We start from the raw sequence: 19,302 nt of genomic DNA on the forward strand, positions 1-19,302 counted from the left end.
AGTTTCCATTACTTTTGACAGTAGCCATCCCCACTTACCTGTTGAGTTTTCCTCTCATTCCAGGTCCTTGGATGTGGCTGTGTTGCCCAAGCTATTCTCAGTCGAGGACGTTTTGGAGGGGTCATCACTATCAATGTTGGATTTTCAATGGCAGTTGCAATGGCCATTTATGTGGCTGGCGGTGTCTCTGGTAAGCAGTAGAAATAATGAATGCTGCTCTTAATTCAGCCACTCCAATGTGCCCGCACAGTGCTGGCTGCTTCACATACCTTAATTTACTTATATCTCAAAAATCCTGCAAGAGTGTGTATTGGATCCCATTTTTATAGATAAAATTAAAATCACCAACCAATGGTAAGTAACTTATTATGCAAAGGCAACATTTAACAAGAGACAGAAATGGGGGTTAGAGCTCATAAATTATTCATTCCTAAGTCTGGCCGCTGCATCTTATTCTCCACCAGTCAACGGGATTTTTTACTTGCTCTAGTCCACATTTGGAATCCAACTCCCAGATACCCTGTAAATAGCCCAGTGAAGGTCACTCCAACAGAGGCAAGTCCTGGACCTTTATCTATAGCAAACAGGAAGAGTCTGGGTCTCTTGCAAAATGGATGGTGCTTTCATGGACGTGCAGATCTGATCTACAAGGTCTTAGTCTAATCCTGCTCTGAAAAGTAAACTGATTAGAAGCCATTCACATGGTTCTCAAAAGCAAAATGAAATGATAATTTAATGCAGTCTGGGCACTTAGGAAGCGACTGTGGAAATGATCTGGTTACCAAAGACACTCAGAATCTTTCAGCAGCCTGGTGTGGGTCCTCAGAGCATTGAGTCAAGACTTGGTGAGAAGAGAAGAAAGGGAACTGAGAAACCATGCATGCTGAGCACTGTGCTAAATGCCAGACTGCCTTTATCTCCCTCTCCTTTACAACAGCACTCTGAGGCGGGTATTACTGTCTCCATTCTACAAAGAAATCCCTCCTGAGAGGGAGTCAGTAAATAAGTGGAAGCCCTGCAGCTGGTAAAGAAGAAGAGCTGAGATTTGATCCAGGCTCACATGATCTGCATGACAGTGAAGCTCACATCCTCATTTTTTGTTTGTTTGTTTTTTGTTTGGTTTTGTTTTTTTTTAGGAGTCTTGCTTTTCTCCCTCAGGCTGGAGCACAATGGCACGATCTTGGCTCACTGCAACCTACACCTCCTGGGTTCAAGCGATTCTCCCGCCTCAGCCTCCTGAGTAGCTGGGATTACAGGCACACACTGCCACACCTGGCTAATTATTTTGTATTTTTAGTAGAGACGGGGTTTCACCATGTTGGCCAGGCTGGTCTCGAGCTCCTGACTTCAGGTGATCCACCTGCCTTGGCCTCCCAAAGTGCTGGGATTACAAGTGTAAGCCACCGCACCCTGCCTGTTTTTTGTTTTTTAAGACAGAGTCTCACTCTGTTGCCCAGGCTGGAGTGTCGTGGCAGGATCACAGCTCACTGCAGCCTTGACTTCCCAGGCTCAAACAATTCTACCTTCTGCCACCTCAGCCTTCCAAGTAGCTAGGACTACAGGTACGAGCCACCACACCCAGCTAATTTTTGTATTTTTTTTGTAGAGACAGGGTCTTGCCATGTTGCCCAGGCTGGTCTTGAACTCCTGGACTCAAGTGATCCACTTGCCTCAGCCTCCCAAAGTGCTAGGATTACAGGCATGAGCCACCACACCCAGCCAACACATCCCCATTCTTACACAGCATTTACAATGCTCTATTATGAGAAGGGCATTACAAGCAGGTTAGTTGGGCAGAGGATCCTGCAGTTAAGCTGGCTGGCCTCCTAGCAAACACTGCCTTTGTAGCACTGAAGAACGATTGCTTAGACTCCTTGGGAGCTCCTTGGGCTGTGCATCCGGAATGGCCATTGACCAGCTGGCACCCTTTCCATATTACAGCCAGACTCAGATCCAAGGGTCGTCCAGGTTAAGACAGAGTCCCACTCTGTTGCCCAGGCTGGACTGTGATGGTGGGATCACAGAACTTTGCAACCTTGACCTCCCAGATTCCTATATATGTGATTTGTTAGCATGCACAGTGTCTCCATTCAAACTTTTGTCCAGCTTTTGCTGTGATCCCAGCACTCTACTGCTTAACTCAAGGCAAACTCCAAGAAGGGCACAAGAAAAACCAGGGGACTGCCCTAAATATCCCGAGGCTTAACTGCTCCCCCTATAAGCTCCCACTGAGTTCACCAGGTAATGTAGGTGTAGCCATATTTTCAGCCTTTTTTTAGGTAGAGACATGGTTTTGGAGTATTTTGCCTGCATAACACCCTGAACTGAACATCATCCAATAGTTACTTAGAATTAATTGGCCCCAGACCCTACCACTGCTGTTAACACCCTTCACCACTGCAATCCATATCTGATTCTGTCCATTGATATACCTGGGGATTTCTGCAGTCACTGTAGGAGGAAAAAAGGGAAAGAACCAGCAGGAAGAAGAAGGAGTGAAGAAAAGGTGTGAAGTCTTCTGTGGCCTCTAAACTGGGGTTGAATCCCTATAGTTACAAGAGTAAGGGCCAAAACTGATGGGACTTCTTTCAGTAGAAGCTGTTTCTGGGTGAGAGTCAGGACCTGACCAAAATGTTTACAAGCAACTATGAGACCCTAAAATACAAACAGAGTGGTGTCTGAGACTGGCTGGAAAATAGTAGCACTGGCTTGGAAAGGCAGTCCTTATCTTTCTATCTCTATTTGGAATCTAGCACAGTTCAGGCTCCCTAAGGACTGGTGGCTTTGGGAACATTTTGGGAACATGCAGCACAACACACTGGCCCATCATGACATCTGTGTGGACAACAGCATCAGTATCAGCTTTGGCAGGTGCAGGAATAGGGGAAGATTGTGTGTGGGAGGTGACTTTCTCATCGTGGCTGCAGCTAACATACTGGTTTGTGGGCACATACTGGCTTGTAAGGTCTGCTTGAAGATTCCAAAAGTAACCAATTTATACTGAGCATAAATGTGAATGGGATCCTATTTTGTGGTCACCGACTAGTGAGGTCAGCAGATATTTGTCTTTTAAATATAAAACATCACCTTATTGTAAAGAAGTTACAGCATCCTGCTCCCCTGGGAATGTTCCAGTCAAATCCAGTCAGTCAGAGGTCATAATACCCTAATTATGTAGCATCCTGCACAAAGCATTTAGGCTGTCTAATGGCAATTGCTATTGATGTAGTATTTTATGACTAAAATAAACTTATTGAAAAAGCAAATAGACTTGCTTTCATTACAAAATATAGGGTTATCTTGATCACAGGATTGTGTATGGGTGGCGAGGAGGAGAGGATTTGCATAGAACAGAACACTGAAGGGGTTCCCTCTGCTCACCTAAGACTTTCATCTTGTGCCCTGTGGGATCCAGCTGTGCCCGCGGGCCCTTTATGTGAATAATCTGATTGTCCCAGCAACCTCGGCAAAGCCAAGAGTTGAGTGCAGGACTCTCTGACTCTAGTTCTCATGTTCTTTCCAATACACTGCTCTGCCTTGTCCTTGTGATAAGCCAGGGTGACCACTCATCTCTGCGGGGAGAAATTTCTAGCAGCCACTTGGCCTCTAACCAGAGGCATCAGGGTGCCACTTGTCCACCTCTCTTTCTGAACCTTTCTGCCTCCTCTCCAGCCCTTTTCCTCATTGCTTTGCAAAGCACCCTTCCAGACATACCCTCTCTAACCCCCAAACAACTATTTTTCTCTGTAGATCACTGTAGTCTGAGCTATCTAAATAAGGCCTCAGATTATTTCTTCAACTTTCTTTTTTTTTTTTAATGGAGTCTTGCTCTGTCACCAGGCTGGAGTGCAGTGGCATAATCTCAGATCATTGCAACCTCCGCCTCCCAGGTTCAAGCGATTCTCCTGCCTCAGCCTCCCAAGTAGCTGGGACTACAGGCGTATGCCACTATGCCCAGCAAATTTTTGTATTTTTAGTAGAGACAGGGTTTCACCATGTTGGCCAGGATTATCTTGATTTCTTGACCTCATGATCCACTCGCCTTGGCCTCCCAAAGTGCTGAGATTACAAGCGTGAGCCACCATGCCCTGCCTATTTCTTCAGCTTTTATATTGAATACCTACTAAGTGCCTTGCATCATGTGAGACCCAAGGTAAATAATAGTTCCAGCCTCAGGATGCTTAGGAGGAGCCAACAAACAGAAACCTACTTATGGGAAATTTTATTTTGGAAGACGAAATTGTTAAACAAAGAAATCTCCCATTGGTAGACTAAACTCAAGGGAGTTGGACTGGAGGTGATCACTTACGGCCCCCTTGGTTTTTTGTTGTTGTTGTTGTTGTTTGTTTTTGTCGCCCAGGCTGGAGTGCAGTGGCGCAATCTCTGCTCACTGCAACTTCTGCCTCCTGGGTTCAAGCAATTCTCCTGCCTCAGTCTCCTGAGTAGCCAGGATCACAGGTGCGAGCCACCACGCCCAACTAATTTTTTTTTTTTTTTGAGACGGAGTTTCGCTCGTTGCCCAGGCTGGAGTACAGTGGCACCATCTCGGCTCACTGCAACCTCCGCCTCCTGGGTTCAAGCAATTAGCCTGCCTCAGCCTCCCGAGTAGCTGGGAATGCAGGTGCCTGCCACCACGCCCAGCTAATTTTTTCTATTTTTAGTAGAGACGGCGTTTCACCATGTTGGGCAGGCTGGTCTCAAACTCCTGACCTTGTGATCCACCCAACTCAGCCTCCCAAAGTGCTGGGATTACAGGCATGAGCCACTGCACCTGGCCCCGCACCCCTTTTCCTTTCACAATGGCTACCTCCAGGCAGCTGGAGGCAGCTACTCTGCAGCAAGCCTCTGGGAGAAGAGAAACTTCCCACTGCCCTGTGTGCCCCCTCCTCCCTCCTAACCCCTGTTTCTAGCCTTCCCTGGTAAGGTGTACTGCTAGTCTCCAGAACTGTGGCTTTCCTGGATTTGAAAGGAAAACACAACAGTTGAAGTGTTTATAAGGCTTTAGGAAATCATCTGTGCTTCAATACACTGGCATTTTCTTGCTCATTGTAGCCACTGAGTGGCAGGGGCAGGTGAAGAAAGGACTCTTGTGGCTTAGCCAGCAGCCAGAATCCCCCACCCACTGCAAGTCCATTTTGCCCTGGAGACTTGGAAAAAGCATAGCTTTCTCCACAGGGAGTGGTAGAGGCTTCTGGAAACAAGTGCACCTATTGGTTCTGTGCAGGATCATCATCATCATCATCATCATCATCATCATCACCACCATCATCCCTCCTTTGTTTACGACCAAGGCCACAGCCTGAAAGTCCACATCTCAATGTGGTGTCTCTGATTCCCCCTCCACAAAAAATGTCATCTGTATTCCTCAAATGAACATCTGTTTTCACTAGGAAGTGAGCCTATATGCTCAGACAATTTTTTTAAATTCTTTATTTATTTTTCTGCCCACAAAAGCAGAGAAGCCTTTATAAACACGGTGAAGATGGGCTGGAAGTGGTATAGCAGAAAACACAGGCTCTAGAATTCAGATAAACCTGAATCTGAATCCTGGTTCTTCCATTTACTGACCATGTAGCCTTAAGAAACTTACTTTCCGTCCATGCCTCAGTTTTCTCATCCGTTAACTGGAGTAGTACTCATCTCATTGGGTTCTTAAGAGGATCAAATCCACCTACTAACCCTACAATGGTGTCTGGTAAGTATTTGATAAATGCTGCTGTTGTTGTTACTAGCAAAGCCAGCTGGGGATGTTAGAGACCAACCACAGAGCAAACTCTCTATTTGATTTTATGGCTGGATGCAAGTCAAGGAAGCCGATTTCTCTAGCTGGAGCTTGGGCTGGGCTCAGGAAAGGGTTGCTACATTTCTGTATAGGAGAGAAATGCATTGTTTATGCAGAGGAACTGAGAACAAGCCACTCACACTGTGACCACCTCAAAATCAACTATGCCCCCACCCTCAGCAACCCACAGTCATTTTCCTTTAAAGATACATCTCTTTTGAGCTTGTTTTTATATCCTCTGGGCATGGCCGGAGGAACTGCTAGATATAGATTTAAATCTTATACATATATTGGATAAGCATATTGACTTTTAAAAGATATCGAAGTTAATAGCTACATCAGTCTGTTTGGGGTGACTGCTTTATAGATAGAGGGATTCAAGCCTATTAAAAAAACAGCCACTTGAGCACATCAAGTTTCTTTTTATACCTGACTCTCTTTTCATCAAGATAAACATTCTAAACTGTTATCCAAGGATGCCATGAAAATGATCATTCCTCCTTCTCTCCCTGCTCAGATACACACTCTCTCTTTCACGTGCATACACACCCCTCTTTCTCCTCATAGGCAGTAGTTCTCTGCCTAGAAGACTGAATTCCACCTGAGGTCTCTAGATGGTTTTCTGTATATTCTTCTTCCTAACCTGCCCTCTCACTTCTCCAATCTTCCCTTGCAGGTGGTCACATCAACCCAGCTGTGTCTTTAGCAATGTGTCTCTTTGGACGGATGAAATGGTTCAAATTGCCATTTTATGTGGGAGCCCAGTTCTTGGGAGCCTTTGTGGGGGCTGCAACCGTCTTTGGCATTTACTATGGTGAGTAAAGTCCCTGAGTCCTAAGGTTAGGAAGAGCTGGGCATAATTTGAAAGTCAGAATTACTTGGTAGGCACAGGCGAGAAAAAGCAAGGACGGGAAGCATTCTACAAGTGACAGCAAGTTCTAAATTTGAGAAAATGAGGCCATATTACCATTCCAGCAAATTCGTGAATCCTGTTAATGAAAATGGTCATATCTTAAATGGGGAGCAGAACTTAAAGGAAGCCTGTCTTTGTGCCAAGCCAGCACTGCAACATACACATCCATACAACAAGCAGTAGGCCAGTGGCTTCCCCACTGCTGTCTCTGATTTGGCTGGGAAAAGAGGTGTTTTCTGGTGACAAAGGTGTGACCAGTAAGTATTGAGAGAAGGACTCTGGGAAGATGTCTTTGAAGGAAGAGACACAGCAGAGATGTGGGCTGGGTGGGAGCCTCATTGCCCTTCTATCAAACAGCCAGGGCTTCCACTCTGCAACAGTCCTTGGGAAAAACACAGTATTGGTCATAGAAGACCAGACTTTAGCTCTAGCTGTTCAGTAAATACCTGTGCAACTTAAATAAGTCATCTGATCTGACTAGCCTCAGTTTCCTCCTCTGGAAAATGAGGGAATTGAATCAGATGACTCTCGAGGCCTTTCAAACTAAAACACCTTGGTGTTCCCATGAAATCAACTGTTAAAGCAGCTCCTTCCTTCTAACCCAAGGTAAGCCTTAATACATTATGACTTACCCAAACTGAAGACCTTAGGAAGTAGAATTTATGAACCAGGCCTTATAGAAATGGGTCATGGAGGGCTGGGTGTGTGGTGGCTCATGCCTGTAATCCCAACACTTTGGGAGGCATAAGTGGGAGGATCGTTTGAGCCCAGTAGTTCAAGACCAGCCTGGGCAACATAGGGATACCTCGTCTCTTCAGAAAAAAAAATTAAAAATAAGCCAGGTGTGGTAACTCACATCTGTAGTCCCAGCTACTCAGGAGGCTGATAAGAGGATTGCTTCAGCCCAGATCAAGGCTGCAGTGAGCCAGGATCATGCCATTGCACTCCAGCCTGGGCAGCAGAGCAAGACCCTGTCTCCAAAGAAGAAAAAAAAGAAAAAAAAAAAGGAAAAGAAATAGGTTATGGAAAGGGACTTTTCCCCATAGAGTGTCTCTCTGAGAATTAGAGTCTAAAAGGGCTAAAATGGAATTCAAGAACACACAGGAAATTCAGAGCCCGCTGCTGTGGCAAGAATGGCCTGGGGTCAGTGCTAGCTGTGGCAGTGGCTGCAATACCCCTGGCTCTAAGGGCATCTTCAGTATACTGCAACACCCTCAAATTCTGGAGTGGTATTAGGGGTTACTGAGAGCCCTCTGGGAATTATAAATTATTCCTAGAGCAAGACCAAGCCCCACTTTGGCTTACAGTTGACCTCGAAAACTCCAAGAATTCCCCCAAAAGAGAACTCATTCCCAGGACCCTATCGAAGAATAATTTGTCCAAGTTTGCAGTGGGCCATTCAGAGAGGCCAAAGGCCTTCTTCCTTTGACCCTCCATCCTGGGATTCACCTGGGCATCTCTAAAACTATCATTCCTCGGAAGTAGAGAGAGACAAATGACATGGCTATGCCAAGCTCAATCTGAGTGACTGGTTGTTTAGCACAAGGCTTGGCACAGGCCTCCTTCAACTCTTCCCAGGGAACACTAATGTGCCAGAGCTTTCTCTTTCATAGATGGACTTATGTCCTTTGCTGGTGGAAAACTGCTGATCGTGGGAGAAAATGCAACAGCACACATTTTTGCAACATACCCAGCTCCGTATCTATCTCTGGCGAACGCATTTGCAGATCAAGTAAGTGTAGATTCAACAAAGACTTAACTTTGGTGAAAAGATATGCTCTCATAAGGGGAATGCATTGGAGAATTAGAGACCAATCAGAAAGGAGAGATTATATTTCCAAAGGCAGAGGTTGCTGGGCATAACCCAAGCTTTCTTGATAATCGTTTTACCTTTACAAGGAGCTGATACCACCAGAAAAGTTTTCTCCTTCCTCTTTAATACGTACACTTGTTTAACATTAGTTGAGATCCAGAAAAGAGTGAATGACTAAACATTTCAATCCCTGTAGACACAAATGGACTTCACTTCACTATTGACTCTTTTGAACAAGTGGTCTAAGTGTGGAGGCCACAAGAGAAGATATTTCTATTTCAAATCAAAGACTGTGAAGGGTGGTAGTTGAGCCTAGGGGATCATCAATCCTCTCTGTCTCACCATGTGCATAGGTTTATTTATTTAAACTCTCAAGGTGGCTAGAAGTATCTCTGCTTATTGACCTTTAAACAAGCTTCTAGCACCCAAGCATACTGTGGTGTAACCAATAGCACACCTATTTGGTCAGCTTATGGCAGGACTAACATTGTCAACTCAAAAGACTCTTCTTCCCTTACTGTGTCCCAAGAAGGCTGCTGGTTATCTTGGTCAGGGCAGTGGAAGGAAGGCTATATTTTTCAGTATCTCTAAGTTCTTCCTCTATGATCAGGACTTATACAGTGGAGCAGATCAGAATGGGCATGTGTATAAAATGGATCTTCCAGTTCATCAGCTATGCCCACCTCCATTCAATGTATGGATGAAAAACTATGCCCTCATGTCCTCAGCTTTTTTACTTTCCACTTTCATCAATAAATCAAACAGGCAACAAGTGTTCATTAAAAACTCACTATGTGCTTGGCCCTTTGTCTGGAGCTTGAAAGACTGACGAGTAAATGTGAGTTGTAAAGATCCAAGATGCAGAGTCTGAATGCTTGAATTAAAATAGCTGTTCTGCCTCCAACTTCCTGCGTGGCTTCAGCAAAGTACTGAACTTTTTGGGTCGCAAGTTATTCACTTGTAAAATGGGGATAATATGAGCCTTCATGAAGTTACTTATGAGGATAAAAAGAATAATATGAGAAAAACGCATTGTAAGCAGTATCTGCCCAGAAATTTTGAATCTAGTTGAAGAGCATTGAACAAGGAAACAATGCAAAATAAGATATAATTAGACAGAGCTGGGCACGGTGGTTCACATCTTACTCCCTGCATTTTGGGAGGCCAAGGTGGACAGGTCACTTGAGCCCAGGAGTTCACTACCAGCCTGGGCAACATGGCAAAACCCTGCCTCTACCAAAAATACAAAAATTAGCCATGCGTGGTGGTGCTTGCATGTAGTCCCAGCAACTTGGGAGGCTGAGGTGGGAGGATAGCTTGCACCCAGGAGTTGGAGGCTGCAGTGAGCTATGATTACACCACCACACCTCAGCCTGGGCAAAAAAGAAGAAAATTAGATAGGAAACTGGAGTATAGCGACCATATTATAATAGAAATTTGAAGCAGAGAGCATAGAAGAGCGAGGACAATTTTGGTTATTTTGGTGTTTTTCTCTAAGCTTTTTTTTTTTTTTTTTAAGACTGAGCCTGTTGCCCCAGGCTGGAGTGCAGTGGCGTGATCTCAGCTCACTGCAACCTCCACCTCCCAGGTTCAAGCAATTCTCCTGCCTCAGCCTTTGGAGTAGCTAGGATTCCCAGTGTGAGCCACCACTCCTGGCTAATTTTTGTATTTTTAGTAGAGACGGGGTTTCACCATGTTGGCCAGACTGGTCTCGAACTCCTGACCTCATAATCCGCCTGCCTAAGCCTCCCAAAGCTGTATCTTGATCAATGCTGACCTGCATACCATATCCTGAGCTTCCTTCATTGTGTCCTTGTCTCAGAGTGAGTTGGCAATTTCTCTAAGGTCTGTGGTTTCTAAGCCCATTATTGTGTATAAAGTCAAGTAGAAAAAGCGAATATTAGAAAACCCTGAGGCTGTAACCGTCAGCAAACCCTGAATGCTGTCCGTATTCTTAGGCTTTGGAGAGAGTTCCAAAAATTGCCAATTATCAGTCAGTCAACACCCAACAGAGCTCTTGGCCATCATGACCATATTTTGGGGTCACCTTATTTCAAGATTACTAAATTGTTTAGCTGTAAATACTCTTCAAGCATATTCCTTGGTTTAGTTAATAATCAATCATTTATTTACCCAATAACTATTTACTGGGCACCTACTTAGCCAAGTACAGCTCTATACTCTTCCTTCTTCAAGGAGTTCAGAGTCTGAGGCTCAATCTAACAAGTAAGTAGATACTCTTTTGCAGAGTGACAGGGACACTGATACAAGTAAAGTCAGAATGTCATGGAAGCCCAGAGGAGGGAGCTTTTACTCTGCAAGAGAGAGTTGGAGAAGGCATTCCAGAGAAGAGTGCTCTTGGGGGAACATGTGTCTTTTAATATTAATTAAAAATTATTTTAACATTATTATTTTGGAAAGCAGATGAAATGATAATGAACTTAAACTTTAAAATCAGTTGCCTGGTTCCCATCCTGATTCTTCTGCTTACAAGTTTGACATTGGACAAGTGTCTTAACCTTGTTTTACTCGAGTTTTCTTATCTATAAACTGAGAATAATAGCAGGATTTACCTCACAGCATTACTGTGAAGTTTTAATGAGATAAAGCATATGAAGTACCTGGCACATAATAAATGTTCAATAAATAATAGCTATCATTTAACTGTTAAAGTAAAACAGTAGTTTGGAAAACTAATAACATAGAAACCAGCTATAATTGGCCAATTCAAATACCTATTATCATTTTTGTTTATTGTCTTAAAATTTTTCTTTTACGTATGTTTTTAAGTAGAGTCAACCCTACATATCCATGAATTCTGCATCCATGGATTCAACCAACCATGGATCAAAAATATTTTTAAATTGCATTTGTATTGGACATGTACAGACTTTTTTCTTGTCATTATTCCCTAAACAATACCGTATTCACATTATATCAGATATTATAATAATCTAGAGATGATTTAAAGTATACAGGAGGATGTGCATAGGTTATATACAAATAATACACAATTTTATATTGGGGACTTGAACATCCATGGATTTTTGGTACTTGCAGGAAGTCCTGGAACCAATCCCCCACAGACACCAAGGGACAGCTGTATAAAACACAAAACAAAACACAAACACAAACAAAAAAATACAAATTTTTTTCACTTAATGTTATAAGTATTTTTAAATATTACTACATAGCTTTTATGTTTATAGTTTTTAATGGCTATACAGTAGACTAAAAAAAGAGTAAAAGCTTCCAGTTTTTCAGTACTATAAATTTTGCTAAAGTGGACATTTTAAAATGATTTTTCCACGTTTTAGATTATTTCCATTGTGTAATTCTCAAACATCCAGCAGCATCAAATTGTATAAATAAATTTATGTTTTTGAATGCATATTGCTAAATTATTGCTGAATTTCCTTTTAAAAGCATAGTACTTGTTTAGATCTATTAGAAAAGCCTGAAATAACGGGTATCTTTTTCCTAACATTTGATATTGTTTGGATTTATTTTATTACTAATGAGTTTTTACCACTGCTTTCCTAATTCTGTTTTCCTTTTTTGAATTTTCTGTTCACTTCCTTTGCACACTCATCTATTGATATCTCACATTGCTTTTCTCACCAATTTGAACAAGCCTTTCATTCATTTTTCCAGCCTGCAGCTTGCCGTTCTACTTAGCTGAGTAGTAGCTTAGCAGGATAGTGTGGTATTAAGATAACAGTCTCTGGAGCCAAACTCTCTGGATCCAAACCTGACTGCCACCTACTAAGTGGGCAGGGTAACCAATCTGTAAATGAGAATTATATTGGCTTCTCCTCTAGAATTGCTGTAGAAAGAAGAGAGACTGGCACAATTATTCACCCAGTACATGCCAGTTATTACTAGGCATATTGTAATATAAGTAAAATAGTAATATTGTAATATTGTAAAATAGTAAGAAGGGATGATTTTGAGACATGCAGGTGAGCAGAATGCAGGCTAAAGCCCTGGCTCAACTTCTCCCTCTCCAGGTGGTGGCCACCATGATACTCCTCATAATCGTCTTTGCCATCTTTGACTCCAGAAACTTGGGAGCCCCCAGAGGCCTAGAGCCCATTGCCATCGGCCTCCTGATTATTGTCATTGCTTCCTCCCTGGGACTGAACAGTGGCTGTGCCATGAACCCAGCTCGAGACCTGAGTCCCAGACTTTTCACTGCCTTGGCAGGCTGGGGGTTTGAAGTCTTCAGGTAAGTAACAGTGGTGGGGAAGAGAGAGACAGAGTCATGCTGCGCCTCACCAGTGGGGCGGGGCTTTGACATGGAGATCCAGGGAAGTTCAGATGACAGCGCCAACGTTAACTGCACACTCTGGTCATAAGCATGAGACATTTCACTGGTATTTTGTGGTATGATGTGTGTGTGTGTGTGTGTGTGTGTGTGAAAGAGAGAGAGAGACAGAGAAAGAGAGGCGGCTCTAGGTAAATTCAATAGAGATAAAACTGTCCCACATAATAATAATCCCTCAATTGCTATATGATTTTATGTGAACATTTTAGCTGTATAACTTGTCTGCAGATTCATTTTGTGACAAAGTTGGGCTACAATTTGCATCCTATGATGCCACTACAGGGCTCTTCCTCGTGAACCACGCAACCTATGCTGCACTTATTCCACAGATATTTGTTGGGCATTATCTGTGCTTTAGTCACTGTGCTAAGCAAGGAAATTTCAAATCAGCAAAAGCACTCACCTTGAGCGATATAATAAGTGCTCTGGCAACCCCTAAAAGTGCTGCAGGAACACAGATAACGTGTGAGTAACTGCCAGGGAAGCAGGGAAAGACATGACTGCAAATGTGAGAGCTGACTTGGTTCTGGAGATATGAGTAAGAACTTCCGGACAGGACAGACGTAAGATTGAGCCTCTGCCCCAGAAATGGCAAGACTCCACACTTTCTACTTCAGAATGTGCTGAGGAAATACGCCAACTGTTGGTACCTATCTTCTAGGACAAAATTTGCCCCTTCACTACTTCCTGGTTTCCCTGCATGCAGTCACAGAGGCGCATCCTCATCCACCCATGGCAACTTCCTATGGGGAAGGAGCTCACTTTGGTTCATCAGGAAACAGGGCTCTACCATGGAGAAAAGTAGGAAAAACATGTGTGAGCAAATTCTACTTTAATGTTTCCTGTGAGAACAAAGGACGTGAGTGTTCCCAAATGATGACCTAGACATAGAGTCATCAGGGTTTGGCCTGCATTTCACCAGGGTGAAAAATAAGTTAAAATAACTGGTACCATTGAGATCACCACCACAGATAGCACTCAGAGCATCTAGAGTGTAAGTGCCATGAGTACCTTGACAGCCTTTTCCCCTGGTATATCCACAGTGCCTAGAACAGGGTGTAGCTCATAGAAAGGCTCAATAAAAAGGTATTGAATAAAAGAATGAATGAATTCTATGTGACGGACACTTCCTAGGAGTTGAAGGATGCAAAGCAACTCAGTCAACATTCCCTGTCCTCAAGAAATTGACAATCCAATAAATTTCCTAGAACAGCAGTTCTCAACCAGAGGTGGGCAACTGTTCCCCAGGGCATTTTTGGTTGTCACGGCTGGACCTGAGGGAAGGGGCTGCTACTGGCATCTAATGGGTAGACGCCAGGAATGCTGTTAAGCATCCTACAATGCACACGGCACACCTCCCACAACAAAGAATTATTCAGTCCAAAATGTTAATAGGTTTGTGGTTGAGAAATTCTCTCCTAGAATGATCACAACTAGAACACGAAAATGTCCGCAACTAGGATGGATCTCTTGTATCTTTCCAATGGAGCATCAAAAACATATGTCCTAAGGATCTCCTTATTCCCAGAGCCCAGAATTCGCCCATGAGTTTCCCTTAATTCCACCATCCAGAGTCTCAGTCTTGGAGACCAAGCTCTTCTTCCACCCCCTTTGAGACCTCCTTGGTGATTCATTCAAAAGTCAAAGAGACATGGTGGTTCCAAAACAGATGGAGATCTTGCCCAATGTCCCTTTGCTCTGTTAAGTATATGTTAGGAGAACTCACGTGAAGGAAAATGTTGGAATCACCTAATGTCCCATGTCCTTAGCTAGCATCAGGATCTTTTCCCTTCCATGGAGTCATTTATTCATTCATGCAGCTACTTGATATCTTACTCAAGGCTCTCCACTAAAGATGATAAGACCTAGTTTCTGTCCTTCACTGTTGTGTTTATATTCTACTTAAGAGGTTATTCCAGAAGCTCTTACACAAGGTTGAAGCAGTCAAGTGCCATTAAAGAGATTTGACTAATTAACTCCAGGAGTTTAGAGGTCTACAGCTCCAAATTTAAGAATTATGGGAGTGGAAGTGGGAACATTTATAGTATTTGGATATGCTTAAACAAGCAACAGAGGGGTTATCTCAGGCAGAGAGAACCGTTATTCAAAGACACAATGTTAAAATCACAAGTGATCTAGTCTAGCTGGAAGGGTGCAGAAAGAAAGTTGGAAAGGGCCGTTGTCAGATCATAGAGGACCTGGACTCCCAGAATGAGAATTTTGGCTTTTCTTCTGCTCCCTGTTTTGTAGGTTATAGGGAGTAGCAAAGTATTTGGGGCAGAAGTTTGGCAGGTTTAGAATGTCAATTTAGCAAAATTAATCTGGCATCATCCTATAAGACTGATTGAAAAAGGAGAGAGTGGGGAAGTAGAAACCCATTAGGAAAGAGCAGGGTTGGCTGGTAATCCTCAACCAAAAATTTCTCCCCAAAACCTTTGAGGGACAACAGGCTTCCAAAGTGTTCTTAGAGTGTCTCATTTCCTCAGAGTTCTATATTCAAGGGAAATCCCTCAGTAGATATCCTAGCTTGGACCTACACCTAAGGTCTTAGAAAAAAAACAAGGCTACCTTGTTCCCAGGTCCCCATGTACTCCTGAACGGCAAGCAGTGGAATGATGGCAGGTACAGCGAGATGCCAGAGGGTTTGATGAGGGCAAGAGTCAACAGACCCTGGCCAAAGACTCTTGGTTTTTCCTTTAAATGTTAAGATGTTTCCCATCAAATTTCTCTCCACTTATTCACATTGTTAATGACTTAATCAGTGAAAGCTCTCAGGAGTATTATTAAATTTTTCAAATAGTTGGCCCAAAGTATTGAATCCCTAAAGATGGTCCTTTAGACAGTTAACATACACATGTTCCTGGCATCTCCCGAATCATAGTGTGCAAATGATCACTATTTGTGTGCATATAGGACTAGGCTAGGCAGGTAACCACATCTGAGCGCCTCCATTTGTGACTTGTGAACCTGATACAACATGTCCAATCTGATAAAATAAAAAGCATCCAGCCAGTGAAGAGGACGTGTACCCTGGCTGATATCTTGGACCTTCATCTGCTAAATGACAGGAAGAAATTTGCCATAAAAGGAAATGATGGACCCAACAGGTAGCTTATACTCCCTTCATGTTTTGACCTCTAGAGAAGACTTCAAGTCTTTACAGCCAAACGGGAGAGGCAGCCACCCTCCATGTGCCTCCCCTAGAAAAATCCATCTGGATTTGGGGCCTGGGGAAGGGCACTGTGAGGGCGGCCGAGTACAGCATCCTCGCTGCCGTGTGGTAAGAGTGACATCTGGTGGCTGCCATGCTCAGGCTCAGTGCTCTTCCATCAACCCTGCAAGGGCAATGGAGGACTTCGGAGACCACTTAGGTGCCCCAGGTGGAAGGGACCATGCAGATGAAGGAAATGGAGCTCACGATGGGGAATGGGGGTTTGATTTGCTCAAAGACCTTCTAGATAATCTTGAGATTAGACTTAGTTTCCTGGATTCTAGGACAGGGTTCTTGTGTCCTGCTTATTTCCTTTATCGTTCTTTCTAATCAAAGTTTGAGATATACAAAAGGCCACATGGAACATATGTGTAGTTATTCAGCATAATGATGAAAAGAAAAGCTATGGGTCCTTCTAGAATCCAACTAGAACACTGAAATTCTTACATGCCTCTGGGTACTCCTCTTGTCTCCCATCCCCTCTGCATTTATCCTGAAGTTTTGTGTTTTCCATTCCCCTGCTTTTTAAAAATACTTTTATCTTAAATGTATATATCCTTAAACAATATACTGTATAATTTGTTTGCTTTCCTGATCCTTTCTAAGAAATTATTTACATGGATTTTCTCTCTCCAAAGAAGATGGTGACAACTCACAAAGATACCTGCTTTTCCCCAGAACTATAGCTTTGCTGTAATGTACTAACATTGAGGATTTCTGGAAGAGAGAGAGCCATGGCATGACAGCCTTATCAGAGGGTAGCCTCAAGCTAAGATCTTAAAAAATAAGTACTGATTTAAATTATATTTAGAAGGCAATTCACACATCCACCTTAGATTTTTTAAAAATTCATTCATTCATTGAAAAACATTTCCTGATTGATTAGTTTGATTGTCCTCATACACTAATGATGCCCAGGAATCTCTCCACATTCTGCTTGTAATCCACAGGAATCATTATTTCAGGATGAGGGAAAGGCAATTCTGAATAATTGACCTGAACTTTCTTAGGGGCCCTCAATCTTAACGATGGGCTCAGGCACTATATTTTATAAAAAGAAAATAAATAAGACATAATATCTCACAAATATTAGTAGGACAATTAAATAGATCATCTGAAATCAGGTGTAGTGGAAAGTCAAGGATGGCAGTTGCCATGCTGCACTGAGCCCCCCTTATACTTAGCTCTTGCTGAGTTAAGAGGGAACCATGAGTGTGAGAAAGACTAACAAGTGAGTGAAAAACTAGACAGTAATACCAGGAGGAAGGCCAAGAAATGTATCACTAATTTCTTGTTTGATTTCAGAGCTGGAAACAACTTCTGGTGGATTCCTGTAGTGGGCCCTTTGGTTGGTGCTGTCATTGGAGGCCTCATCTATGTTCTTGTCATTGAAATCCACCATCCAGAGCCTGACTCAGTCTTTAAGACAGAACAATCTGAGGACAAACCAGAGAAATATGAACTCAGTGTCATCATGTAGTGGCATGCTCAGCTCTGGATTTGCAGTCAGTTTGGGATTCTCTTCAGAAAGATGGCATCTAAGTGTCTGTGTTCTTGTAAGCCTGAGGTGGAATCCACCCAGTTTTGTCTGCTAGCCATATGGGACATCTAATTGGAAAAGCATCTGCATAAAAGTTTGGAAACAATGACCACTTCTCTACCATTGTCCCCCACCCCCACCCCCCAGAATAACGCTGACTGTCCCCTGAAACAGCCTTCTCTCCTGCCCTGTTTATTTCATCCTCGATGGGAATTCTTGCTAGGTAAGCACTAATAACTCGGCATCTTGACGATAGTCCCATTTGGGTGGTTTCAGCTGCACTATCTGTATGAAATGGTGTCACCAAAACCCTTTTCTTCAGTATCGACAAAGATTACATTCTGAGTACCAACCAAACCCTAAATTGAAAGACAAAACTATGGTTTCAGTCAACATATTCATGAATTAGGGAGCTAATGGGTTAAGCTTCCAGTTCCCGCTATGCTACTGGATTTGTATAAATACTGATATTCTCCAAACCTAGTGGTGTAGGGAGCAAGAGAATGCAGCTGGAAGGCACAAGGGGAGGACATTGTGGCATTCAGAAACTGCAGGAGACAAGATGAATTTGAGAAGCCAAATGGAATTTTTAATGGAAACCATTTATCAGATTAATCTCTTGCTCTCCTGCATTTTAGAGGACACCAATTAATTTCCTGGTCTTTAGTATATAATAACCTAAAATACCATTGTAACCTCAGTCATGAAAAATACATCACTCTGTCTTTTTAGCTCAAATGTATTTTCCTAATTGCCCACTTGAGAACAGACATTTGACAAGTTATATCAACGACTGTGCTTGTCCATTATTTTACACATGCCCTAGAAGCCAAAACTGAAAGCCACTGGATCCTGGTCTAGCTGAATCTTCAGAGTGGGAGGTCTCCAAAAAGATATTACCTTATTGGGCTTAACAATTCACAAGGCACTTTCACACCCATTATCTAATTTAATCCTCATAATGACTATGTGAGGCAAATGCCACATTGCCCATTTTTCAGATAAAGAAACAAAATCTTAGGGAAGATAAGTTGAGTTGTCCAAGAGCACACTGAAAGTTGAATGTTATCTAATGCATTCCTCTACCTTTCAGAAGATCAGTAGCTGGCTGACAATCTTTGCCAAATCTTCCTTGCTAGCCAGAAGTGGAATTGGCAGCTTCTAGAATATGTACACCTCTGGACAAAATGTTCCTCAATCTTAAGATACAAAGACCCTCATTGTCTGGGTCTATTCCCACACTTACTGAGTACAGATGAAGGAAAGTGGTAGCAATTTAATCATAACTTTCATTTGCTGAAAAACATTATGAGAAGGCCTCCCTTCCTAAGCCACCTCTGGTCTTGCTAAGTCTTGATCTTGCTTCCTGCCAGCACCAAACATTACATTCAGGGGATTTCCTCTGGCTCAGTCTTTTCCCCTTGAAGTTCTCTAATAGATGTTACTTTTGACAAAAGATCGCCTATGAGTTACAAGCACCAGGGGATGCTCTACATCAAGGGATGCACCTTCAGTCAAACTGTCAAAAAGCCCAGAATTCCCAAAGGCATTAGGTTTCCCAACTGCTTTGTGCTGATATCAGAACAGCAGAAATTAAATGTGAAATGTTTCTGATGACTTATGTTCTACAATCTATGGACATACGGGATTTTTTTTTCTTGCTTTGAAGCTACCTGGATATTTCCTATTTGAAATAAAATTGTTCGGTCATTGTTG

At 42.9% G+C, this 19,302-nt stretch overlaps 1 protein-coding gene across 3 annotated transcripts in view, besides 3 other annotated features; it reads left to right on the forward strand.

The window, feature by feature from the left end:
• Window positions 1-19,302, forward strand: part of AQP9 (aquaporin 9) — a 47,743-nt gene extending 28,441 nt beyond the window's left edge. For 2 of the 3 annotated variants that reach the window (NM_001320636.1, NM_020980.5), the window contains exons 2-6: window positions 64-190; window positions 6,459-6,596; window positions 8,309-8,427; window positions 12,519-12,736; window positions 17,352-19,302. In NM_001320636.1, coding sequence (NP_001307565.1) covers window positions 148-190; window positions 6,459-6,596; window positions 8,309-8,427; window positions 12,519-12,736; window positions 17,352-17,526 — 693 coding nt within the window. In that variant the 5' untranslated portion in view covers window positions 64-147 and the 3' untranslated portion in view covers window positions 17,527-19,302. The remainder of the gene's footprint in view (window positions 1-63; window positions 191-6,458; window positions 6,597-8,308; window positions 8,428-12,518; window positions 12,737-17,351) is intronic. The other variant, NM_001320635.2, reaches the window with a different exon arrangement.
• Window positions 18,841-19,135: a silencer, noted in NCBI's record as "tiled region #15447; HepG2 Repressive non-DNase unmatched - State 13:Ctcf". NCBI's record gives its function as "represses a minimal TATA promoter and a strong SV40 promoter by Sharpr-MPRA in HepG2 cells {active_cell/tissue: HepG2}" and the evidence as "EXISTENCE:reporter gene assay evidence [ECO:0000049][PMID:27701403]".
• Window positions 18,841-19,195: a biological region, named in NCBI's record as "Sharpr-MPRA regulatory regions 15447 and 13480".
• Window positions 18,901-19,195: a silencer, noted in NCBI's record as "tiled region #13480; HepG2 Repressive non-DNase unmatched - State 13:Ctcf, and K562 Repressive DNase matched - State 13:Ctcf". NCBI's record gives its function as "represses a minimal TATA promoter and a strong SV40 promoter by Sharpr-MPRA in HepG2 and K562 cells {active_cell/tissue: HepG2 | K562}" and the evidence as "EXISTENCE:reporter gene assay evidence [ECO:0000049][PMID:27701403]".

Source organism: Homo sapiens, chromosome 15, assembly GCF_000001405.40.
Source record: "Homo sapiens chromosome 15, GRCh38.p14 Primary Assembly".
Lineage (NCBI taxonomy): Eukaryota > Metazoa > Chordata > Mammalia > Primates > Hominidae > Homo > Homo sapiens.